The following is a 27,745-nucleotide window of genomic DNA, read 5'->3' as shown; positions in this document are numbered from 1 at the left end:
TTTCTCACACTGTGTGCAATCTTTTGCAATATTTGTTTAAAAATGAATGCAGTGATAAATATGTATGGAGTTCATGAATTCTACAATGATTGACAAGCTGTTTATGAACTACAGATATAACTAACATCCTTTTTGCATTCTGGAAGCTACATTTTGATCTGAAAGAAACGTAGTGTTTAAAGATAAAAATATACCTCTATAAAAAGATATACATGAGTTTAAAGTATACAAATTATTCCTTGATATTTGGCTTATTTTGAATCAATAAATGACAAAAGTGGTTTTAAAACTGCTTTAAAATAAATACAAACTATTATTAAAACAAAATCTTATGTTAAAGCTTAAAAGATATTATGGGCTCTGGATTTTGATATCTTTATAGTACTCATGTAACTGTTCCAGAGAAATTTTATTAAAAGGCATTAGAGGTTATACAATATTGCCTATCTTGTTTTCTTGCCTCTACTTATTAGAACAAATATTTATTCAGTATTTACTTCTCTGTAGATACTGGGGAATAGAATATTCAACAATATAAACTCAAACCCTTGTTTGCATGGCTTTTACAGTGTTGATGTTAATCCTCAACAGTAGAAGAAAAAAGGGTGTGGACTGGGTGTGGTGGCTCACGCCTGTAATACCAACACTTCAGGAGGCCAAGGTGGGCGGATCACTTGAGGTCAGGAGTTTGAGACCAGCCTGGCCAACATGGTGAAACCCTGTCTCTACTGAAAATACAAAAATTAGCCAGGTGTGGTGGCACACACCTGTAATTCCACCTACTTGGGAGGCTGAGGCAGGAGAATCGCTTGAACCCTGAAGGCGGAGGTTGCAGTGAGCTGAGAGTGTACCACTGCACTCCAGCCTGGACAACAGAGCGAGACTCCATCTCAAAAAAAAAAAAAGAAAGAAAGAAAAAGGTGCAATATGATGTGGACCCAGGGAATTAAACTGCTTGTAAGAAGCACGATAAACCTTGTGGCTTAGGATGAGCCATTAAAGACCTAAATGGGTGAAGTTTTAATTAAAAGTCATGTGAGAAAACTCTTTGAAGCTAATGAGGGCCTACATTTGTAAGGACCATTAAGGGGAGGACACAGTTTTTAAAAACGGTTGTTGTGTCTGCAGATGTTGCTAAACTGAAGCAGGAAGTTTCTTTCTTCTTTTTTTTTTTTCTACTCAGTAGATGAAGAGAAAGAGGAAAGACGATAACTGTTTTCAGTATAACCTGGTATTTTGAGTTTTTCTTGTAAATGCAATGGAAGTCAGTCTTTCAACTTACATGTCTTTAAGAAGTTCTAAATCATCAATTTATATTTTGTTAAAAATTTTTATTAATGTAAGTAATATAGATATATTCAAATGCATAGCATGTATAGTTGCATAAATCACATTTTTCACTTACGCATAACAATTAAGAAATCTTTTCTCAGTCCTGGTTAGGAAAGAGAAAGATCTCACAGTAGTGACAATACATTTATGAATGTGGTGTGCCCGTGTAAAAGCGGAGGTGTTGGGACAAGCCTGAAACCCCCTTGCAGAGGCAAGGAGACATCATAGACAGACCTGGATTCAAATCTGTTTTTTACCATTGATTAGATAAGAACCCCAAACAAATCATTTAGCCCCTCTGAGCTTCACTTTTCTATAAAGTAGAACCAGAAATACTTATAAGATTATTGTGGGATCCAAATTACTTATTATATGTAAAGTGTTTAGCGTAGCACTTGGCACATGGCAGATAATAAATGAAGAATCACATTGTTAGTTGCTGTTCTGATGAATTGAGTAAAAGATGGATGCTACTATCGATGTTGTAAGAGAGGCTGAAGGAAAATCAACATTCTGTGTTATCTGTTTTCTTTATTGGCAAGAATGATGCTTCAAGATGGTAGGGCAGAAGACTAGAGAAAAAAAGATTTAAAGTGTATTGCTGCTGTGGGAAGCATGAGAAGGAAAAGACTAGGGACAACACATGATTTCCAAGTAACCATGGAATCCCAGCTGAAGCTGGAGACATATATTTGCAGTAAAGCCAATTAGCATGCTCATGTTTATTTTTCTGGCAATACTGGATTGCCTAGGGATGAAAAAATAAAATAAGAGTATGGGAAAACTAACTCCCGTTGATATATAGACCAAAGTATTAACAACCAGATTGTTTTGAACCCAATTTATTCTTTGCATGAATACACATTTAATTATGTACACATGCAAACATGTTTCCTTTTTTTTAGGTGAATTTTCTCTGTTATTGTCTTCTGTTATCTAGTATCCTTATCAGTATATTTATCTCATCTGACTCCTGGGCTAATAGGAATGTGGTTATAAGCAAATAAAAATTGAAGTGCTACCTTAGCATTAACTTTAGACTCTGTAATTGTCAACAATTGATAACTTATTCATAATTATAACAATAGATAACTCATCACTTTTATAGCAATATGTTTCAAAAATCTTAAGGAAAAATCTGAAGGAAAATGTGGGTCTAAATATATCATGTAAAATTTCTTTTCCATACTCATATTTTTATATATCTTCACATTAGATGTCCCCAGTCTTCAAATAATTTGAATATTTTAAATTTGTTTTATTTCCCTTTTTGGCTTTTATTGCTTCTGAAACTCTACCTCAAGTTTCTAATATTAAATTTTATACTACAATACCCAGTGTCCCAGATTTACTGGTCTTGCATTATAGTGATGAACAGTTTCAGCGTCTGGTAGCAAATACCATTTGATCCTAACCAAAATCTTGACAGGTTAGTGGAATTGGTATTATTCTCATTTTGCAGATTAAAAACTTGATGCTTAGAGAAGTTAAATATTTGCCTGAGACCACATGGCTATTACTTGGCCTTGGCAGAGATTAGATTCAAATCTTCTTATTCAAAAGCTAACTCCTTTCTTCCTCATGGTTCTGCTTTCAAGCGTTTATAATCTAACAGCCATAATTTTTGATAATTTTTACAGTAGTGATTGGATTAAGACAGATGGAAGATGAAATCGATTGACAGAAAAGCAATTTAGATTTTGATGTTGTAGAAACATTATAGTTCACCTTTTATGCCAGATGGGTCAAAGTTTCTGTTCTCTTATTTTTTAGATATCATAGAAATAAATTGTTTTCTGCTGAACAACTGGAAGTTTACTTTCTCTAGAAAAAAAGAACTGCCAGTAGCAGAATCAATGTTGCTATTTTTCTGGCACTTCATTATCATAGTACATTCTGTACTGGGAAGGATACCATCTGGCTTCATGAAGAAAGAGGAAATAAAATTTTGAAAATATTGTTAAAGATTTGATTTTTTAATAAAAACAACTTTATTGAGATGTAATTCATGCACCATTCAACTCATCCATTTAAATTGTACAATCACTTGGCTTTTAGTGTATTCACAGAGCTATGCAACCATCGCCACAATCAAATTTAGAACATTTTCGTCACCCTAAAAAGAAACCTTGCACTCCTTAGCCATCACCCCCTAACCCCCCAAGCTGTCCCACATTTAGGCAACCATTAATCTACTTTGTGTTTCTATAGGTTTATGTATTCTGTATATTTCATATATGAATATGTGGTTCTTTATGACTGGCTTCTTTCACTTAGCAAATTTTCAAGGTTCATCTAAGTTGTAGTATGTGTCAGTACTTCATTTCTTTTTATAGCAAATAATAATATGGATATACCACATTTTGTTTATCTATTCATCAGTTGATAGGTATTGTTAACATTTTGGGGCTATATAAATAATGATGCTATGAACATTTGTGTACAAATTTTAGGATAGACATAAGCGTTTACTTCTCTTGGATATACACCTATCTGTGGAATTGCTAGGTCATATGATAACTGTATTTAGGTTTTTGAGGACTGGCCAGACTGCTTCCAAAGTGGCTGTATTATTTTGCATTCCCACAAGCAACGTATGAGGGTTTCAATTTTTCCATGTCCTAGTAAACACTTGTTATTTGTCTTTTTTGATTACAGTCATCCTAGTGGGTGTGAAGTGGCATCTCACTGTGGTTTTGATTTGCATTTCTCTAATGAGTAATCATGAGGATAACTTTTTTTTTTCCTAATATATTGTAGTGTTGACAAAGATGGCAGAGATGTTTCGATAGTTAATATTAATGATAAAGTTCTATCGCTGCTTGCCCTTTTCTTTGCATATGTATATATTTGCATTATAGTGACGAACAGTTTCAGCATCTGGCAGCAAATACCATTTGATCCTAACCAAAATCTTGACAGGTTAGTGGAATTGGTGTTATTCTCATTTTGCAGATTTAAAACTTGATGCTCAGAGAAGCATATATATATATATAGTTTATTTTTATTTTTAGTAGAGATGAGGTTTCACCATGTTGGCCAGGCTGGTCTCAAACTCCTGACCTCAAGTGAGCCACCTGCCTCAGTTTCCCAAAGTGCTGGGATTACAGGTGTGAGTCACCATACCTGTCTTCTTTGCTAATATTTTTAAATCTTACTTCATGAACATAGTGAGATTTACTCACTACACTTCAAGCAAACAAAAAATATCCTTTTTTGAAAATTGCTTAGTTAAATCCTGGCTTATCAGTAAATATATAGTAAGTGAACTTAGCCATCAGAATGATCTGTCTAGAAAACTTATCTGGGCATGCCACTAGTAAAATGTTTCAAGACTGTCTATTTCCTACAGGGAAAAAAAAATTAAATTCTTTATCATGGCTTGTAGTACCCAATCCATGCATTCTTTTCAAGATTCTTCTAACTAGTGTTGCCCCCGACTCCACTTTGTATAAAACCCAAGCTTATAAACCAACCATATCTTGCTTTGTCATGTTTCTAGTTTTTTTTTTTTTTTTTTCATTCTTATGCTCTTTTTTGCCTGTAGTGTCTCCCTACCCTATCCAGGGATTCTGGTCCAGCTCCTGTTCATCCTGTAAATCTCTGCTCATGAATCATGGAAACTCTGTTCCTTTGTCTTTTCATAATAGTTTCTACAAAGCTCCATTTTTATACTCACCATATTATATTCAACTACTTGCTTACTCTTCTATCTCCTCTCATTCATTTTGGAACTCCTGAATGTCATTGACCTTTTACTCATTTTTAGATCTAGGAAGGGCGCAGAACATAGTAAATATTCAGTAAATGTTTATTGAACTGAGCTGAAATTCACTGGGCTCTAGGGAAGGGACTCTTAGTTAGCATAAAAAGATATTTATTATAAACCAAATACCAATGTATTAATTTATACAGAGGGATATATATACTTCATAGATAGATAAAAATTAAATCATTAATTATATGTGTTTCTGCAGGTACAAATAAGAGAAAGAAAATTAGTTTCTGAGCCTATGAAAATTTATCTCCTTCAAGAGAATATACCTCCCTAGGAACCTGAAAACTTTCATTATTTTCTCTTTGGTAATGCTGATTTTCAAATGAGTGTCTCTGTGTTTACAAGTATATAGTCATCATGTGATTTGTATTAATAGGGATAGGTATATATACAGAGGGGCTAAATTTTTCTGTTTCATGCTGATTTTTACTCATCTTATTCCTAGATCTACTTTAAAAAAAAAACAGGCTTATCTTATTCCACCTCACTAAACTATGTACAACCATTTGTTAAATGTCTGGTTGTGCTAGTCATTTTCATGTTTCATCATTTAATTGATGTAATATAGGTATTGAATGAGAAATACAAAATATTAGTCCTGGGAACCTCTATAGGAGAGATTTTCCTGAGTATCCTGAGGCTGACTCATGCACAATGTGAGACATGCTGAGTTTTGAAGAATTGATGGGACTCAGGTGGACACAGGTGGATATGGGAGGCAGAGTGTAGACCAGGAGGGGGTAGGATCAGGGAGGATTAAGACTACAGTGATGATGTACATGAGAGGCTGAAGCCAGATTCCAATGGTCTATGAATTCAAGTCCAACTTCTGTCTACAGGCAAAGGGAATTTATTATTTTTTTAGCAGAGTGTGCCATGACAGGAGTCAAAGATCACTACGGCAGTGATGCCCAGAACTAACTGGGGCTCTCGCCTCTTGGGTAGATTTAGGAAACCTAGTTATGAGGCTGCTGCCAAGGTACAGGTGTGAGGTTATACTTTTGGAGTCATCAGTTGGTGTGGAAATAATTCAGTCATTCATTCAAAAGAGTTTCTTGACACTTTCTGCATACTAGTCTTGTATTTAATACTAGAGATGGAAAGATGGATAAGAAGTGCTCCTCCTGTCCTGAAGCCTCTAATGGCCTAATATAGGAGAGAGACTTTTTTTAGTCTGTTGAATAAATGATGGATATAGTGTAATGGGAGCTCCCAAGATGAATGAATAACTTAGCCTCACAACAGAAAGATATTTGAGCTTTTTGAATAAAAGAATTCCAGGTACAGTGAGGGAGAGGGAAATTCTAGGTGAAATGTAATCTTCAAAGGCCCTGTCATCTGAAAGAACCAGTCATGCTTGGACAAGAGTGAGAAGTTAGAGCAGCTAGGAGGAGGGCTATGATGATCATCTGGGAGTTTGGGGGTGAAGTGGGAAGGCCGGCCTTTGGTGGGTGTGGATGGAACTTGAAATCCTTTGCTCTCACTTTCATAACACATTAGATTTGGGTTTGTTTATTGAAAGCCTCAAAAAAGACCAGCCTGGCCAAGATGGCGAAACCCCGTCTCTACTAAAAAAATAAAATTAGCCGGGCGCGGTGGTGGGCGCCTGTAATCCCAGTTACTCGGGAGGCTGAGGCAAAGAATTGCTTGAACCCGGGAGGCAGAGGTTGCAGTGAGCCAAGATCATGCCACTGCACTCCAGCCTGGGTGACACAGCTAGACTCCATCTCAAATAATAATAATAATAATAATTTTAAAATCCATGTCAATAAGATGCTTCTCAGAATGATATTTAAATGGGGATGTTATTTCTAAACAACTTTATGCTGGAGAATGTGTTCTTAAAATTTCGTGCTAATAGATCAGTGGTACTTGGCTCTATATGAAATGTAGAATATGAGTCAATCACTATCTTAAAAATAGAAGTATGCAGTGGTCATTTTAAGAATGATAGATTTAGATAACACATGTATTAATTGGTGGCAAACAGTCTCATTACAAGTAAATACCTGCCAGGTGCCATGGCTTATGCCTGTAATCCCAGCACTTTGGGAGGCCAAAGCTGGTGGATCACCTGAGGTCAGGAGTTCGAGACCACCCTGCCCAACATGGTGAAACCCCATCTCTACCAAAAAATAGAAAAATTAGCTGGATATAGTGGCACATGCCTGTAATCTCAGCTACTCAGGAGGCTGAGGTGGGAGAATCTTGAACCCAGAAGGCAGAGGTTGCAGTGAGCCAAGATCACGCCACTGCACTCCAACCTGGGTGACAGAGTGAGACCCTTTTTCAAAACAACCCCAAAAAGTAAATACCTTAGTGCTGAAGATATAAATACGACTGTTTATCATGAAGATATTACAGTGTGGTGGGAAGAATATGTTTAAGATTTGCTTTCACAGCGTATGAATTAATTTATCTAAGCTCTAATAGTCTCACCTAGCCAGTGTTCCAGCAGTCATACAATGTTATTTACGGGATCAAATGAGCTAGTAGCAGTGAACATACTTACAAACTCTTCAGTGCTATTAGGTATTGTTTGCTGTTATCTTCAGAATGTTTTAGGTTAAGTCTCTATATTCGGCATTTAAGCTGGCAATAAAAATTGCTCTCACCTTCAGTTATCTGATTTTTTTCCAGGAAAATGTAAACATGGTTTGGTAATGACAGAGCAGTTTGTATAAGTCTAATTCCCCTGAAGATGACCATTATAAAACATGGACAGAATGTGTGAATGTATGGAGCATGGAAGATATTTAGGATAGTGAAAATACTCTTTATTATACTTTAATGGCAGATACATGCCATTATACATTTGTCCAAACCCATGAACTATATAGCACCAAGAGTGAAACCTAATGTAAACTTTGGACTGTAGGTGATAATGATGTGCTAATGTGGGCTCATCACTTGCAACAAATGTCCCACTTTGGTGGAAGATGTTGATAATTGGGGAGGCTATGCATACGTGGGCAGGAAGTGTGTGGGAGATCTCTGTACCTTCCTCTCAATTTTTTGATAATAGCAAAAGAGTTGGAGGCAGTAAATGGAATTATATATTTGTGAAGCAGTATCTCTAGGTAGACTGATAAGTGAAAGATGCATGTTTTTATCTGTAGAACAATGACTAGAATATATTACAAAAAGAAACACATAAGAAGCCATTATGAGCATTAAAACGTAATACTTAAAATATTTGGATAAGCTGAATAAATGCAATAAATTAAGAACACAGGAATGAATAAGAGATGGCACAAATAGCAAATAGCAAAATGGTATACCTAAAACCCATTTATGGTAATAATCGCATTAAATGTAAAAAATTATTGTGTACTAAAAATGTGGCACAGATCTACATTGTCTAAAGAGACACACTTTAATGCTATTAGATTCAAAGTGAAAGGTTGGGAAAAGATGTAATATACAAAAGTGAGTATAGGAAGGCTGGTGTGGCTATATTAATAGTCACACAAAGTAGACTTCTAGAGAGACAGTATTAGCAGAGATAAAGAAGGACATTTTCTAATGACAAAAGAGCCAAGTCATCCGAAATAATAATGATACAAAATGTGTAGTTTATCTAATAAGATAGCTTCAAAATACATGAAGCAAAAATTATCAGCTGGCAGTTAGCCAGCAGTGTGAATGCACTTAATTCTGTAGAGCTGTATACTTAAAAGTGGACAAAATGGTAATTTTATTTATATTTTACCACAATAAAAAAATGGGCAAATTGAGCTTATATTTGCAGAATTTTTAACTCTTTTTTTTAACAACGATAGAACAACTAGATAAAAGATTATAAAAAAGCAGTACAATACTATTAAATACCTTGTCAAAACTGACATTTGTAGACTGCTACATCCAACAATTGCACTATACATATTATTTTACTTTCCCTTTTCCTTTCCTTTTCCCTTTCCCTTTCCCCTTCCCTTTCCCTTTTTCTTTTCTTTCTTTTTTTTTTTTTTGAGACAGGGTCTTGCTCTGTCACCCAGGCTGGTGTGCAGTGGCATGAACATGGCTCACTGCAGCCTCGACCTCCTGGGCTCAAGTGACCCTCCCGCCTCAGCCTCCTGAGTAGCTAGGACTAGAAGTACATGCCACCATGCCCATTAATTTTTGTATTTTTTTTGTAGAGACAGGGTTTTACCATGTTGCCCAGGCTTGTCTTAAACTCCTGGGCTCAAGTGATCCACCCACTTTGGGCTGGCATTATAGGCGTGGGCCACCATGCCTGGCCTTATGAATTATTTTTCACATTTACATTAGACAGTCTCCAGAATTCATCATATCCTGGGGTATAAAATAAATGTTAGTAATTTATTAAATAAATAAATGAAATATATGCCCCCTGACCACAGCAGAATTAAATTAGAAACCAATAACAATAAGATAGCCAGAAAAAGCTGCAAATCTTTGTAAATTAAAGTAGCAGGTTCTAAATAATTCATGGGTCTAAGGAGAAATCAGAAGGAAAATTGGAAAATAGCTTTGAATGGAAAGAAAATACAATATATTAAAATTTGTGAAATGCAGCTACAGCAGTGCTTAGATGAAAATATGTGGCTTAAAAGTGATTGCAGTAGAGAAGAGGAAAGGTTTAAAGTCAGTGATCTAAGTTTCATGTTAAGAAGCTAGAATAATAGGAGCAAATTAAACCCAAACAAAACAAATAATGAAATATTAAAGAGCAGAGGTCAATGTTAACAGTTGGTTCTTTGAAAAGATTAATCAAATTGATACACTGGCTACGACTGATTAAACTGATTAAGAATAAAAAGATAAAGTACAAATTATCAATATCAGGAATAAAAGAGGGCATGTCATTCTATGGACATTATGAGGATAATGAAGGAAAAATTTGAACAACTGTGAACAACTTGGTGCCAATAAATTTACCAACTTAGATGGGATGGTCATTTGCTTGACAATCACAACTTACCAAAAATGGACATGAAATGGAAAATTTGAGTATCCTTTTATTTATTAAAGAAGCTACATCATTATTAATAAGTTACCTGCAAAGCAAATTCCAGGCCCATATAGAATTTTTTTTTTTTTTTTTTTTGAGACCTGAGTGCCAGGTCTCACTCTGGCACTCAGGTGGCTGGAATGCAGTGGCAGGATCATAGCTCACTTACAGCATTGACCGCCTAGGCTCAAGGGATCCTCCCAGCTCAACCTCCTGAGTAGGTGGGACCACAGGCACATGCAACCACACCCGGCAAATTTTTGTATTTTTTGTAGAGATGAGGTTTTACCTTGTTTCCTGGGCTGGTTTTGAAATCCTGAGCTTAAGCAATCCACCCACTGCAGCCTACCAAATTGCTGAGATTAGAGGTGTGGGCCACTGCACCCAGCCCCTGGTGAATTCTATAAAATATTTAAGGAAGAAATAGCTTCAATCTTAAACAAAAACTTTAAGAAAATAAAGGTAGAATAAACACTTCCCAATAAGGTTTTTGAAGCCAGCATAATTCTATTACTAGGGCCTGAGTTGTTACAAGAAAAGTAAATTTGAGTCCAATTTCATGAACTCAGACCAAAAGGTATCCTTAACAAAAAATTAATAAAACTGAACCAAGCAGTATGTAAAAGGGGAATAAATCATGACCCAGGAAGGTTGGTTGGTTTAGCATATGGAAAAATAATCCATGCAAGTCACCATATTGAAATTATTCAATGGAGGCAAATCTGTATGATCATCTCAGTATATGCAGAGAAAATATTTGAGAGAATAACATTCATTTATGATAAAACCTTTCAGGAAACCAGAGTAGAAGATGACATCCACACAAAAAAATTGCAGCCAGCTTTATTCTCAGTGGTGAAAAAATGATGCTTTCCCTTATGACTGTTTGCTAGGCAAAGATATCCACTATCATCACTTACATTCATTCAACCAGAAAAGTTGATTCTAAATTTTTTATGGAAAATCAGAGGACCTAGAATTGCTAAACTATCTCAAAGAACAAAGTTGGAGGATTCACTGTCTAATTTCAAGACTTATTATAACACTAAAGTAATCAGGACAGTCTGGTAACAGTAGATAAATGAATCAGTGACATAGAAGGAACAACCATATGAATGAATTTTTTAAATATTGTGCTGATTAAAAGAAGCTAGACACAAAACAGTACATTCCCCATGATTCCATATGAAGTTCATCAATGTGCAATGGGGTCAGAAATTTGATCAGTGGTTGTCTACGGCAATGGGGATTGACTGGAAAAGGGGTACGACAGAACTTCCTGGAATTATGGAAATGTTCTCTTTCTTGATTGAGATAGTGTTTACAAGGGTGTGCATATTTTCTTAAAATTCAGAATGGTTACACCTTGGATCTCTGCATTTTCTTGTATATAAATTTTACCTAAAAATAAATTAATTTCAGCCTTATGGTGGATTTCTCTGTTATATTCCTGTTCTGCATTGACCAATGAATAACATAAATGTTTCTGCCAGAATTTTTTTCTAATAGCTTCTGTTGGAATAACTGCTCTCCTTAACTCCTCCTACACTGGGCCTAAACCCCCATCATGGCAGTTAAAGAATCCTATTTTGTTTGATGATTACTGGAGTATAGGTTACTTGAAGCAGGGGATGTCTGTTGATCATTACTGTTTCTCTATAATCCCTAGCTCAGAGCTTTTCATGGATGATTCTCAGAGTTTGGGGGGAAAAAAGGATATGTGTATATTTAAGAAGTGTGTACATTATTTTCAGCAACAGTACTGTGAATTTTGTGCAGGTCTTAACGTATTTTACCATGCAGTTTAAAACTACTTAATATTTGTGCAAAATGCCATATTCATTGATTTCAACGATATCACATTCTGTCAGAGCATATTTTACTTCTTCCACTATAATCATGACATTTTAAATAACCCTGGCCAAGCCACTTATATGCTGATATTAGTTTACTTGGTGGAGTCTTCTTCTAAGCTATGTAGACAGGGTTAATATTTTGTTATGTTTACTTACCTGGCAATTAGGGTTTGTTTGTTTACAGTGTATACAGAATCTTTCTCGAGGTAACACAGGTGTTGATCATTTGCGGATCATATATTACCTGCTTTTAACGTGAAAGATTCCATCTGTGCACATTGAAATTTTTCTTAGGTACCTTCAGCCATGGTCTTATGTTTATTCTCTAGCTGCCATCTGATTATCAAGTGTATCAGTCATCAGGGTGCATGTCTTACATGGTCCTTGGTGGCAGAGGAAAAGTAACTTTCCAGCCTGGGATCTCAATGTGGCAATGTTTTCTTTTCTGCTAAAATAGACTTGTGAAGCATGAACTAAAATTTAAAAATATGTTACCAAGTAAGTTGCTGTAACATAACTCTAGCAACTGGCTAAATTCAGTGTTATCTGTTTGCATCTAAAACTTTTGCATTAAGTAGAAACATATTACATAAATCATAACTTTGGTGACCATGTTATCATGTAAATATCTAGTTATTGATCAATAACGATGACCATTTCTTTTGTAAATCCATGGATAGAGATCTTTCAGTAAACACATCACTCATGTGATTATTCCTTCAGTATATGAAAAATTCAAAATTCATTGGAACATTGAACAATGTAGTTGGATAGCTCTGGATGTTAGACTGAGGGCACAGTGTTCTTGGATGAGGTTGAAGGGGTTTGAGTTATGCTTTTTTAAGGGGAAAATGTTTCACTGTCCTGTTTATCATTGGAAAGTTCCAGCTCGGGGGGATGCCATCTCTGGGTAAGTTTATTCATGATGCTCAGTGATTAGCTGTAGTGCTTGGCATTTAACATACATTCAGGAGATATTTGCTGGGTAAATAGCTGAGTAACAGCTCAGAGAAATCACAAGGCTTAGCTTTCCAAGCAAACACAATACATCTTCATTAGTTAGTGTTTTCAAAGAATCTATTGATTCTAATTGCTAACCCTTTTTATTTTCCGTGAACTAATGCAGGAAAAAAAGATTTTGAGTTTATTTTATAGTTATTTGTGAAAGAATACCAACTTGAAGCTATAGAATTTTAAAGAATACATCATCTTAATATTTATAATATTCCTCTGAGCTATTCAGAATGGGCTAACATGGACATGATTTGTTAATCAATAGCAAAAGTGCAAGCCAGAAGACAGAGTGGAAATAAAACTTAATTGGAATTACAGATACAGTTTTTTCATTTCCTTTTTTTAGTTTAAGACAGTATTGGATATTATTAGAGAATTTGCTAGAAAGCCCCACTGTACTCAGGATGACATTTCAGAGATTGTCAGTGAGCCAATCTTAGTGTTTCAGAAAGTATCAAGATTAACTGTGACTAAAAAGTATGAGGTGGTTATTTTGCTTGGAACCACAGTTTTGACAACATGAAGTTGGGAAACCAGTAAGGAAGTGATAGTTGACCTGTACCTTAATGCTTTCATGGCCTGTTGGGAGGATAATTGACTAAATGAGTATGGTGTCTGAAAACCTTTACTGTGCCTCTCAAAGTGAAAAGTGTCTTCTCTTAGTAGAATTCAGCTCCTCAAGGGCTACAAAAACAATTGCATGTTTTTAAAAAATACAATGTAGTGTAATAAACTTCCCTTAACTAGGATAGTTTTTCCATTACAGCTTGACTTAAAATGAAAACCACAGATCATATAGATCTTCCAGTGTAAGGCATTGGCAACTTTTTCATGTCATTTGGGTTAAGGAGGAACAGGAACATAGGGGAGAAGGGAAAGAAACAGAGCACAAATGCGGGATGCAGTTGTTCACTCCTGTACAATTTCTTCAGGAGGAGTGAGGCTTGGGGAAACCTTTGGGATGCAGAGATTGAAAAATAAAGAGAAAGCAACTTTCGATCTATCATATTCATCATAGAAAATATTTTCAAAGGATCAAATCCTTTAAAATCTTGCAGTCGAATATTTTTGCTCCTAATGGTTTTTTTTAAAAATACCTACCTTCTTGTTATCCAAATTTTTCCTGTATGAAAAGCTTACTAGTGTATGTTAAAGAAACATTAAATAAAACTTTAGTTTGGCACAGTGGTCAAAAGAAGCAGTACAAATTTACCCTTTACACATGAGGTATTTTAACTAGTAGTCAGCTATTTTAACAGTAATGCTCTTAGGGAGTTTTGATTTAGTAAGGATAGGTGTTGAGAAAATCACAGGATATTCCATTTCCTCCTAGCAGTTCTGTGTTATTTAAATCCAGCTTGCAGTTACCCAGCCCAGTGGGTGGTACTGTGTTGGGCACCTGTGCTGGGCACAATTAGGAGTGACAGCTCCCAGCCAGCCAGCTTTGCTTTTGCTTTTGCTTTGTTATTTCTGCAGTGTTTTACTGCATTTAACAGAGGTGAGGGAATAATACTTCCAAAGGGAACCTCTGAATTCTTTAAACATGAAGCTAAGGTAAATTAATGCACTTTTTAATGTGTTCTACAGAATTAATTATCAAGTAATTATTGAACAGTTAATATAGCTTGACTTACAATAAACATTTATTGTAGGAGCCAGACTTCCTGGATTTTAACTGTAGTTCTGTTGCATACTAACCATGTATCTTCTTTGTGCCTCATTGCTTTGTCTATAAAGTGGGGATAATAATGGCACTCGCCTCATAGGGTTGTTGTGAAATCATGGGAGTAAATGTTTCCTAACTGTTCTGAACAGTGCTTGGCACACGGTAACTGGTGCTACACATTAGCTGTTACTATTGCTATTAGTATTGTTGTTACTAAACAATTACATGTCTATGCTGAGATTGTGCATTCAACTAGATTTTCACATATTTGGAACATAATCATCACACCTCTGGAACTACGAAAGAGCAGATAACATGCTAACTCATGTTATCAGTTCAGAGAGGAGGTCAATGATCGTGAAGTGCAAAATTCTGTAACTTAAGGAAGCAGATATGAGAGGATTATTGTCGTTAGTTACATAGGTGAGAGCAGCAGGATTGCTTTAAAACAGGAATGAGAGTGAATGTTTAGTTCAGTGAAGAACCTGTTTGGTTTGTTGTGAGGCCCCTGGCCATCTGATGGAAGAGACAGCAGGCTTGCTCAGCTGAGCCATAGCAGGAGGTCTGGCCCCAGGAATGCAGGATCCACCATTCACAGAGCTTCCATCTCTGGAATTGAGAAGGCTTAACCTGAGGTGAAATTGGTGGGATTGTTCTTTGTTGACAGCTGGCCTAACCTTGTCTTTTGGAAGTATTCCTCTGCCTTTAAATGGCCTGCTTTGGTAGGCAGGTGCTGGTACTGCTAGCTGTGCCAGAAAATAGTTCATTTTGTAACTGTAAGTTTAGAAAATTTTAAATCTTTAGATGAGTGATCATGATGGTAAAGAACATACTAAAGATTTAAAAACTCATGAGAGCTTGGCATGTCTGCTTGACTGTGTGTTTGTCTGGTGCGCTTGCTTGTCCGTAGAAGGTAAATGGCTTTTGCCGTAAGGTGTGGACCTTGGGTGCTTGTTGTTCATGTTTACCCTGGGTTTTAAAAACATTTAGATCCTTGGTTCTCAGCCACAACTGCACATTAGCACCACCTGGAGAGCTTTTAATAAAACAACTCCCTGGGCCCAGAGTCCAGATCAATTAATCAAAATCCCTGGGGAAGGGTGGGGCCTGGAAACTGGTGGGTTTTACCAGCCTCCTAGGTGATTCTAATGTGAAGCCAGGTTTAGAAACCCTGACTTAATTTAGAATAATGAGATCTCTTGTATCAATAGGAGACTACTTGCTTTTCTGGGGACTGCCTGCCCCAGTGTATCACAATACTCTGTCATTCATCTAATTCCTGCTTTCCTTGGATTTAGAGGACTGGTAGTCCTACTACTGCCTTAGTTTAGTTTATGAAGAGCCTTCTCTTTTTGTCTCATGTTGAAATTTTTATTAGTACCACAGCAAAACAGCCTCTTATTTATCTTTCCTATTCTCCAGTCTGCACATCGTTAGAGGAATGTTTTTCTTAAGAAAGAAATTGGTTAGTTGTACCTGCTGAAAATTTAGTTGGGTGATACAGCCAGAACAAACACGTTACAGTGAATTGATTGCGTGGTTAGGAGTTCAGGGAGGTGAAACATTTTTTCCGAGCATCCTCTCTGCCTTGGTGAATGATTTCACTTAATTCCCCCAGCAGTCTTATGAAATAGATACTGTCACCTGTGTGTTAAAATGTTAAGTAACTTGGCCGAAAGCAGTGGCGCGTGCCTGTAATCCCAGCACTTTGGGAGGCCAAGGTGGGCGGATCACAAGATCAGGAGTTTGAGACCAGCCTGGCTGATATTTTGAAACCCTGTTTCTACTAAAAATACAAAAATTAGCCAGGCGTGGTGGCACGCACCTGTAGTCCCAGCTACTCAGGAGGCTGAGGTAGGAGAATTGCTTGAACCCGGGAGGCGGAGGTTGCAGTGAGCCGAGATCGCGCCACTACACTCCGGCCTGGGCAACAGAGTGAGACTCCATCTAAAAAAATAAATAAATAAATAAAATGGTGTAAGTAACTTGACCAGGTTCTTGTGGTTTGTATGCCCGGAGCTGAAGTGACACCCACATCCATTCCTGTGTCCTCTCTGTCATATAAGCTCTGATCTTGTGTATTGCATTTCTTCAAAGCCATGAAAATTATTCATATCAAAATATTTTCATCGTGAAAGGTAATTAAAACAAAATAAGCTTTCTCATTTTACTTTTAGAAGTATTAGGATACAAACGTATAAAACATTTTTTTATTGACTAATCTCTAGAAAGAAGCTTTAATATGCTTAAGGATTGGCAGGAGGGTACAAATTCCTTTTCCACACGTTAGGGCAACGGAATTGTACATTTCGGACCCAGACTCTTGCACAGATTTCAAAAGGTGGGAAGGCCTATTCTGTCTTCTGTAGCTCACTTAAGAAACACAGGCTAATATATATGTCTGTATTTTCCTTTTCTTTTTGTCTTCTCTTTTCTCTTCTCTTCTCTTCCCTTGTCTTTTTTTCTGTTTAAAAAAAAACTTGTAAAAATACTGCATCCTGGGATTTAATAGCAAGTAGCAGAGTGCAAAATATTATGTGAGCATCTTGGACCTGAAAATGATTCAGTTTCTACATTCATTTCAGTGCTTTTTGAAGTATTATCTGCTGCTTTTCTATCTTAATTCATGATCTTTCTTTGGAAAGATCATGAGAAGTGTAGATAAATGAAACATAAAGGCTTTCACCTTTAGGACTTTTAAAATTTATTTCCTAATCCAGTATATTTAGGGTCTACCTTGAAAAATCCCTTTTAAATAATGAGCAATATAGTATAAACATGTCTTTGACACAGCTCAGATGGAAGTTTTATTGATTTACAGCAATAAAACATACATTTAAATAACAGATTAAATTATACCAGTTAACATCTTAAGGGGAAGAGGCCAGAAGTACATATTTTTGTGAGCTGATCTCTGTAGCTCTCATCCGAGGACTCTTCCAGAAGAGACGGTCCAGTTATATCTAGAATAATGAATGGTTTGGTTGGAAGGAATTACTGAGCAAGTAAATTTGCAGAGCTAAATGACCCAGAAGAGTTGTTACCTAAGATATTGTCATATAAATCCAAAGCACAGTTATTTTCTGGTTAGTTAATGTAGAAAGTTTAGATATACAGGTGCTTATGTGTTATTTCATAAAATATGTACTCAATGCCTACTGTGTGCAAGTTAACTAAATGCTATGTTGAATACAAAGTTAAATAATATTAAGCAATTGATTGGGATAGCTAAATAATGTATTATAATACAAGATACAAAGACATAAATTAAGGTTAAACTGTGTGCTCTGTGGGTGAGCAGAGGCAGGAGTGACTAAATATTGGTGTAATTATCACAATCCATGGCCTAAAGCGTAAGACACCTCCAATAAGATTTAACACTGCAGGCCAACTGATTCATTTAGCCATTCATTCATAAATAGTTTATTTACTTTCCATATCCTGGTTAATTTTTCTGTTTCCATGTGTAGTTTAAGTTTGTAATTTGTAGTAGGAGGTATTCTTACTACCCATGTAATAATCATATTTTTTCTTCTACTGGTTTTTTAATTAAAATGAAATTGCTTGGAAAATAGCAGACTTATTTTGTGAGATTTATCTCTGGAGCCTTTAAGGCTACTATCAGTTTAGCATAGCTTAAAAGGTAGAATAGCTTTGAAAAATATATTGAGCCAAGTGACTTCCATGACTTATGCATATCAGTGTGGTTTGTTATAGAAATAGAATTGGCCTCCTGAGCTCTATTGTTAGGAATCTACCCTAGAACATACCTAGAGAAGTTGGATTAACAGAAAACATTCAGGTATCGTAGATGCATGGAAGTTTCCATTTGAAAGACAGCTTAAATTTTATCTAATTCAGCCCCTTTGGTTCAAAAAGATGGAGGCCTTAGAGATGTTAGGAAATCAGTCTGGTGATCATAATTTGGAGAGATCTTTGATATAGATATACTCATTACTATTTTTGTTATTTCTTGGAGGGAGTTAAAATGATATTGTTGTTTGCTATTTTGAATTTTGCCAGCCATTAAGAATAGATATTTAAAGAGATAACAGTTAACTTACAACAACATGAGCAGATTTTTATTAGGATTATTGATTTCTGACTCCATCTTTTTTTTTCCTGTGGGCCCCCATTCCTCAGTTAATGATGATGAACATGATGCTTGATGGCAAAATGAAATAGGAAAATTGTAACAACAAAATTATAACTAATGATTCACAAGTCAGAAATAACTATAAAGAAACAAATTTGGGCACTTATTTTAATGAAAAGTGTGCCTTTTAAGCAGATATCAGAAAGTTTTATCGTAGCCCCATTTTATATTGTAAAATACAAAATTACATATGTTAGCCTTACATAGGAATGGTGATTATGATGTTTTGCTTAATATATTTGGGTTAGAATGTGTATACATAATGACTGTAGCTTTTGCTCATTCTTTTTCAATGTAATTTGTGGGAAAGGTAGAGAAATAATTAGATTTTTCTCATTTTTTAATTTTCAGTGCAGCACAAAAATATCCTTTTTTCCTAGTGACAGACACACACATAAATGCACAAATAATTCTGGCTAACTTCACAGTAAGTATTATTGTTGTCAACACAACACAAAAGTATGTGGTGAGCACATGATGGTAAGAGCAAATTTTACAGTAAATGTGGATTTTTTTTCTTTGCAGGTACATGTTGGGACTTGCAGCAGTTCCGGCGGTTATACAGTTTTTTGGCTTTCTCTTTTTGCCTGAAAGCCCTCGATGGCTTATTCAGAAAGGACAGACTCAGAAGGCCCGTAGAATTTTATCTCAGATGCGTGGTAACCAGACCATTGATGAGGAATATGATAGCATCAAAAACAACATTGAAGAGGAGGAAAAAGAGGTTGGCTCAGGTATATAGACTTTATACTTATATGAATTTAAAAACTATACAGTGGTCTTATTTGTCATTATTTTGTGTGCGTGTGTGTATAATATATTTTTAATATATGGGTATTTATGTATAAATATGGATATTTATATTTATACAAAAATATCCATATATAAAATTATATATGTATTATTGACCTTCCATATTCATTTAAAAGCTATTGAACTGTTTTCAAAATAATCTTTGTAAAAAATTAAAATGCTTCGTTTACATGTGTTACATTAATTTTCATACTAATTTTTATAAAGCGTATGAGTACCTCATGTACTAGTTTAGGGATAAGTTTGTGTTTCCCTCTTTCCATTAAAATATTTAATTCATTGTCTATTCTGAAATTCACCATGTCAGAAAACCAAGAAAAGTCTCATGTTAATTTATGTTGATGAATTTATTTTTGAAGAAGATTTCACATAGAAATGTACCAAACAATTCTGAGGCAGGATCTATAATCTTGACAGTCTGATTTGGGTAAGTGATTTGTAGGATGTAAACGAGGAAAAGGTAGACATTTCAAGATACATTTTTTCAACAATAACAATTAGCCTGCTCACTTCACATTTCCCAAATTGGTCTTATTTTCTCTTGCGCTTCCTTTTGCCTCTACATTGTTAGCTCAAGGGGAGAAGCAGATTTGTATTAGTCAAATTATTTTTCATACCTGAGAAAATGCCAAGCACACACACTCCTTTGCTGATACATGTCTACACAGGTGTTAGAAGGTCTGTCCAGTCTACTTTCTCCTACCATTTTTGGTGGAGCTGACCATTGTTGCCTTCCTGAAACAACAGGATGAACACTCTGAAGAAGCTGGTCTCTGTGTTAGCCACACGTGGCTTGATTTAACTTTACCTACCTGTAGCATGATAGCATGATGCTGTCACTTTGTTGCTGAGATCAAAGCCTCAACAAACTGTGAGCCCATTCTATGTGAAGTTCATTTTTTTTAACGCTTTTTGAGCATCAGCCAGGTGTCCAGCAATGTCAGCATTTCTAGAGTAACATATTAGTGCAAAGATTAAGGAGAATTTTGCTTTAACAAAAAGTTTTACTTTTACTGAGTTAAACATCGTGTTCCTTAAAAAATATCTTAAAATATCTATTTAAATGACAACTTATTTTATGCTCCTGTCTAAATTTCTCTTCTCAGTAACTCAAATGAAATATGAATTTTTTTTTTTTTTTTGAGATGAAGTCTCACTCTGTTGCCCAGGTTGGAGTGCAATGGCGCGATCTTGGCTCACTGCAACCTCCGCCTCCCGAGTTCAAGTGATTCTCCTGCCTCGGCCTCCCGAGTAGCTGGGATTATAGGCATGGGCCATCATGCCTGGCTGATTTTTGTATTTTTTGTAGAGATGGGGTTTCACCATGTTGGCCAGGCTGGTCTTGAACTCCTGACCTCTGGTGATCTGCCCACCTTGGCCTCCCAAAGTACTGGGATTACAGGCGTGAGCCACCGCACCTGGCCATGAATTTGTTTTAATTGTAGTAATTCATACATTTGAAAGTTATGTACAAATTATGTGTGAGTGGAAAAACTTTTCAGAGTAAGAGAAAAATTGTTAAATACTATTTAGAGCCTGTATTTTTCTTAATTTATATAAAGGATAAAAATTTAATTTTTAAAAGCCTTCTTGTTTAGGGATATGGATATCATTGATTTTATTGCAAAGCATTAAGGATATAGCTTCATTTTGACTGCTTAAAAATATGTCTGACTACTCTAGCCATGCAGTGTTGACGGTGTATCCTATTTGAGTTTTAGACATTATTCGGAATATATAACCAAATGAATTTTTAAAGAAATCTGGGGTACATAGGGTTGCAATTATCAACATCTGCTTTAGTTTTTATCAGAAGTCTTTGGGAGCTAAATAGCACCCCTTTGCTTGGATATAGATAAAATAATTCCCTATTCCCCAGTTTTGTTTTACATTCACATTTGGCACAGGTTTTTAAAAATACTATAATGTTATTCACTGGATCCTAATAACGTTTGCTCATGCTTGAGTAAATATTCTAAACTTTGGAACTAATAGGATTATTAACCTATCCATTTCTGGATTTGTATTATTTGAAGTAATATCATCTTGCTTAATTTAAAAGCTAATCTTAACGTTCTTTTTAAAAAGTACGCAGTTAAGAGCATTATTGCATGAATGCATTCAGACAGATTTGCCAGATTACATGGCACCAGTGATTGAGGACCTGATTTTTTATGATTAAGAAACGTGACCACAGTAAAACATGGTCTGCAGAACTGTGAATTGTATTATCAGTATTGTAATGTCCAGGAGCAAGACTCTGGGTCAGTTTAATTGGAAAATAGAGAGTTAACAAACTGACATGGTCTTGTCCCTCCATCATGCTTCATTCAAGAACGATAGGCTAGATGGACAAATGCACATAAAAGAATGGCTAACTTCAAAGTAATAAAAATGCACTGGCACAGAAAAGATGAATCAGCCATTGTGTTGAAGGGTTAGGGAATGGCCTGTTAATCTGTCCATGGATCCTGAGAATTTTGATCCACAACATCAAGCCTGGGAACTGTGGGCAATAGAGTGCAGCTACCTGAAGGGAACCTTAATGTAGGTACCACAAATTATCCTGATATTCCAGGAATTTAGAAAGACGTTGTTTAAGACACCCTATTTCTTATAAGGAGGAATGTGTTATCAAACATGGTGGCTTAGATACCTGTTCGCATTGAGCTTACTAATAAATAGGTCTGATTCTGGATCAGTAAACCATGTCTTATCTAGCAGTTCCCCAGTGGATTTGTGACTTGTGACGGTTATGGCACTTGCATATGTGATCCTTCTCTTTTCATAGGAATTTTTTTTTCTTGTTCACTTGAATTTAAACTTGACCTCTGTGAGGAAAATAGGCCTAGCTACTGAAGTGTATATTGGCTACATTAATTTATTTTTTGGATGTGTGAGATTGTTAGTGCCTAGAGCATTTTTCTTGGTTTAAAACCACACTTTATATAGTAGATATGGCAGTTGCTCTGGCCATGTCAGCAGCAAAGTTGAGGCTTCCAGGCCATACCATGGAATAAGGTTGGAGTGCAATGGAATCTCATCTCTTCTGCCCATGGCATTGAGGTCAGACTCATTTGCATGACATCCAATGTCTTGTGTGTTTTTTTCCACTATAGTTGGCAAAACAACAACAAAAAGGCAGTATGGGAAAAGAAGCAAACATTTGGTTTTCACGTGTGCTCAGCACTGTTGATACATCCTGTAGGAATAATAAAGTAAGACTAGCAGAAACAACAGCTTGGTTTGGAGAGCTCGCTGGAGTGGGAGACAGGGAGATGGAAGAATATCACTGGCTGTGTCTCAAACTTGCCATCTTAAATGAATCTCGGGAGAGTTGCCGCGCCTCAGTTTCTTTTTAGGTTTGTAAGAAAAGAAAACCAGATTATAATAACTCCAAGGTCTGTTTTTTTAGGATTTTGAAAGTCTCTGAGAAGTGCCTCCTCTTTATTTCTAAATGCTGTACAGCAGTATTTCTTTCAAAAGTATTTATTGAGTGACATGCATCAGAGGTGGGGATGTGGCAGTAAATAAGACTGACAAGATTCTGGTCCATTCTCATTGGATAAGGCACACAATAAATGAAAGAGCAATTAACTACTAGATAACTACAAATTATGGTAATTGCTTTGAAAAAGATGAAGAGAATAATAAAATGCTTATAGAGGGAATGAAAAGGGGTACTTTACATGGGATGGTTAGGAAAGCCTCTCTGAAGAGATGAACTTGAAGGGTGAAAAGGAATCAGCAATACAGAGAACTGGAGGGAAGACTGTTCCAGAAAGAGGAAACAGCAAATGCAAAATTCTGTTTTATTAAGTGGGCCAGATTGATTTTTGCAAGTTTTGATCATAGCTACAAAGTGTACATGTACCAGACTTCTAAGATATTGCAGTAAGAACTAACTATACATCTTTTATCTCAGGTTCCCAAGCCTAAGTGTTAAATTAGTAGGGACACAATTACTGTTTTCAGAATTGAAAGCAAATTTAAATACAAAGAAACATTAATATGATTTCCATCATTTTGTGGTATGTCTGGTTTGTTTTCCTAGTTTATATCATATTGCATAGATGTGTAATAGAGTCATGGCCTGTATTATCAACAGATACAGAATCCTGATAGAGACATAGGTAATTACTTAAGCAATGATTGGCAAACTTTTCTGCTTAGCTTCAAAGTTGAGTGAAGAGAGGCAGGCCCTTTGGGGCCTGGTTATTATAACAGGAAGCAGCTGTGGTAAGCTCAAATATATTTGAATTTTTCTGCTTTATCCTAGAAATTAACCAAAGTTTGCATTCTGTTCTATAATATAACTGTTTTACTTGACTGTAAACCGTTTTTTTCCTAAATAGTTCCAGTTTTCATTCATTGGCTTCATGGAACCCATCACTCTGTCATTTATATCCCTGGGATATGTATCCCTCAGTTTGACAGACATGTCCTGAAAGAGTTTGGAGTTTCTCTCCTGGGCAAATTCATTAGAGATGATATTAAAAGTAGGGTCTGTCCATGTCACTAGAGATGAGAAGTCATTTCTTGGATTACTGGGCATATAGAAGGCATAGAGTCTTTGTTAGGAGCTTTAGTTCCTGAAAGTTAAAAATTGTCTCTCATGACAAAGGAAGTAAAATCAACCAACAGAAGAGACAGGATTCTTCTGAAGGCAGTCTTAGGGAACAATCCAGAAATGAGAGGTGTGTTTTCATGTGCTTTATATAACCTTGTTTGATAGCACTTATTTGACTTCTTTAGTTTCTTATCCTGTACCAGCGAACAAGTGTACCCTGAGAGGAGATGAAAGGAAAGCAAAGGCTGTTGCTGCCATGACTTGTCAGAAGAAGCCCCCTGGCCCCGCTGCAGGAGCCCCTCAAGCACAGTTTCTGGGAGGTCTTAGATAAGGCACCATCTCTGTCATCCTCCTCTCCACTCTGAAGTGGGCGTGCTAAGGCAGGATCATTGGATGCTTAAGGCAGGATCATTGTGCTAAGGCAGGATCATTGGAAGGAAAGCATGAACAACAAAAGCATGAACAACAAAAGCTTTCTCTAGAGAAACATACAGATGGTGGTGTTAGAACCACTGCAAAAAGCTAGGGAAGCTAGGGAAATTAAAAAGCAGTATGTTTAGGGAGAATGAGGTTATTAGGACAGCATCAGTGCAATGACAGATTGAGTAAAGGAAGGCAGGCAAGGGAGACACTGACTGCATGCCTTAGGGCAGTAAAGAGCAGCCTTTTATAAATCTATTTATAGCATGGGTTCAATCCAAGGAACTTAAAAATGGTCATGGGCTTTTTTTCCCCTAAAAGAAAATGGCTTTTTTTGGGGGGGGAGGGGTGAATTCCATGTTAAAAAATTACATATTAAAACTTTTTTTTTTTTTTGAGACAGTCTTGTACTGTCATGCAGGCTGGAGTGCAGTGGCACAATTTTGGCTCTTTGCAACCTCTGCCTCCTGGGTTCAAGTGATTCCCCTGCCTCAGCCTCCCCAGTAGCTGGGACTACAGGCATGCACCACTACGCCCAGCTAATTTTTTGTATGTCTAGTAGAGACGGGGTTTCACCGCGTTGGCCAGGCTGGCCTTGAACTCCTGACCTCAAGTGATCCACCTGCCTTGGCCTCCCAAAGTGCTAAGATTACAGGCATGAGCCACAACACCCGGCCTTAAAAATTGTTTTACAGTTAATATTACCTAGATCATCTAGATCATGTACTTTCAGAATGGACTTATTAAACAGAAGAATGCCAGCCAGAATATTGGCCCTACCCTTTGGTCAGTAAAATCTCAACATTTAATCATATAGGAGAAGTAGCAACCCAGAGGCACTAGCTAATGTTTCAGATTGGAATTAGATGCAGGCCCACTAGTTGCTAGTCACTGTAGTAGGGCATTTAGGTTACCTGTGTGATATGTAATCTATGTGAAAATATGCAAGCCAGCAAGATTTCCATTATTTAATTTTATCAACAAATGAGTTTAGGAATCTGGGTGAACGTTGGCTTTGCCTTTGACAAAGAGTTTGATCTCTAGCCTGGAAAGCAAGAGTATTGTAGGGAAGAGAACTTATTCAGGAGCTTCCTGTGAGTTCATTTTAAAACATGATTTGATTTACCTCCAGTTCCTTGGGGGTCATGTCTGTCATGTATAGGAAGGGACAGCTGCATCTCTTTTTTTTTTCCTCTAGTAATTTTGCAATTTGGTCATGAAGTCTTACCTACCTTCGTAAGTCATTTTCTTTTTTTGTGAATTGATATTGACTGTGGCCCTTTCAGCAAATCATATTCTGCAGAGAGGTCAGAGGGGGTAAATATTTATCGTATTTTGATAGAAATTCTTCTGTATGTTTCTTTAGAAATCCAATTTCAGCATAATGACACTGCAGTCAAATACTCGTTGCAATTGACATCTGCTGCACTTAGAGGAAAATAGTCATTCTCTCTAATATATTTGGTAGTTTGCTTTTATTTTTTTCATGTGGTAGTACTACAGTGTTATCTGACCCAAAACAATGCATGGATGTCATTTACTAGGTGAACTTTAAATAGATATTGATAAATTGTTCTTGGTAAGATGACCTGCAATTTTCTAAATATTGGCAAAGAAAACATTTCTATATCCAATATTCTAGAGGTGGTTGTAAAATTCCAAAAATTGTCAAAGTATTAGGCTGGTAAACAGTAGATTAAAACAAAAGGTCAGATAAAAAGCTACTTTAATTCTCAATCCTTATGTTAAGCTGTAAGCTGAAGGACTATTAAAACAATACACAACTCTGTTCAGTTTTTAGTAAAACTTATTTTCTTAGGCATGCTGACTTACTTAAAAGAAACACTATTTCATTCAATATGGCTTTAAATAAAGGTTGTCGTCGATTTTCTAAACCCCAGACAACTTTTAAAATCTTATGCAGAATTGGAATCATTCTTGGATTTTACATTAAAATGTCATTGACTGTTCTGTTGTTATATGGGGATAAAGAACAGCACAGAGATTTTCCACTGAGCATACTCACGGGAGAAGAAAACATTTTTCAGATTACTTGTAGGCTTTTAAGTCATTTTCCTTGATTTATACTGAGAATCCAGATTGTCTTAGTAAGTAGATAGGTAATACTTCAAAGCTTTATATTTTTGTTTTCTTGCTAAGATGTACTTAAATCCATATCTCATAAAAGAAGATCCATGCAGAAAGAATTGTGACTTTGTCAAAGATCTCTTTTTTCCCACTTACCGTTAGGTTCATACTATATTTTACTGCTCTGTATTTAATACGATTAAATGGAATGAAAAAAAAAAAACCCACAAGGTAGACATTTGAAAATGAATGTAATTCATGAGTTGCTGCTCAGGGTAGCTCACTTCCAACTTAACTTGAAATCCATCATTCAGTATAGGTGATAGTCTGCTTCGTAAATAAAACCATGATTTGGAGACATTTTTTCTTCAAGATACGACAAATTGCTATGCCCTTTAAAGGTTACCTGATCTTTGTAGAAGGTTACCAGAAGGTCCTGAAGAAAACCCTTTTTTTTTTCCCACCTCAAAGGGGAAGGCACAGGAGCCATTCTTTAGTGTTGGGACATTTTAGTTTAACAAGACAATTCCATGGATAGTCTGTAGAATCAGAATATCAATGGCCATGTGTATTAGTCTATTTTCACACTGTGATAACTACTCAAGACTGGGTAATTTATAAAGACAAGAGGTTTAATTGACTCACAATTCTGCATGGCTGGGAAGGCCTCAGGAAATTCAGAATCATAGTGGAAGGTGAAGGGGAAGAAAGGCACGTCTCACATGGCCGCAGGAGAGAGAGTGAAGAAAGTCACACAGTTTTAAACCGTCAGAGCTCGTGAGAACTCACTCACTATCATGAGAACAGCCTGAGGGAACTGCCTCCATGATCTGATCACCTCTCACCAGGTCCCTTCCTTGACACCTGGGGTTTACAACTCAACGTGAAATTTGGGTGGAGACACAGAGCCAAACCACATCACCATGTCATATACTATCTGAAGAAACCTGCCTATTCTCAAATGTCAGCAGAGATCTTCTCAGAGTTTCTTAAAAAATCAAAGAAACCTTATTTTTTCCCTCATATTTTAAATTGGATTTGTATTGGGGAGCTACAGTGGTCAAATGCCATTAATTT

The 27,745-nt window shown here is 36.2% G+C and overlaps 1 protein-coding gene across 8 annotated transcripts in view, besides 1 other annotated feature; it reads left to right on the top strand.

Annotated features, from left to right (window-relative positions):
- SLC2A13 (solute carrier family 2 member 13) overlaps positions 1 to 27,745 on the top strand; it is a 351,057-nt gene that overhangs the window by 58,270 nt on the left and 265,042 nt on the right. For 7 of the 8 annotated variants that reach the window (XM_011537847.3, NM_052885.4, XM_017018765.2 and 4 more), the window contains exon 3: positions 19,303 to 19,511. In XM_011537847.3, coding sequence (XP_011536149.1) covers positions 19,303 to 19,511 — 209 coding nt within the window. Of the gene's footprint in view, positions 1 to 19,157; positions 19,205 to 19,302; positions 19,512 to 27,745 lie in introns of those variants that run through there. The other variant, XM_017018766.2, reaches the window with a different exon arrangement.
- Positions 18,390 to 19,589: an enhancer, noted in NCBI's record as "MED14-independent group 3 enhancer chr12:40422025-40423224 (GRCh37/hg19 assembly coordinates)". NCBI's record gives its function as "activates an origin of replication core promoter dependent on BRD2, BRD4, P300/CBP and CDK7 cofactors, and independent of MED14, by STARR-seq in HCT116 cells {active_cell/tissue: HCT116}" and the evidence as "EXISTENCE:reporter gene assay evidence [ECO:0000049][PMID:35650434]".

The sequence above is a fragment of the Homo sapiens genome, chromosome 12 (assembly GCF_000001405.40).
Source record: "Homo sapiens chromosome 12, GRCh38.p14 Primary Assembly".
In the NCBI taxonomy this organism is placed as follows: domain Eukaryota; kingdom Metazoa; phylum Chordata; class Mammalia; order Primates; family Hominidae; genus Homo; species Homo sapiens.
Note: the sequence above shows the minus strand (reverse complement) of the source record. Positions and strands in the feature narration are given on the sequence as shown.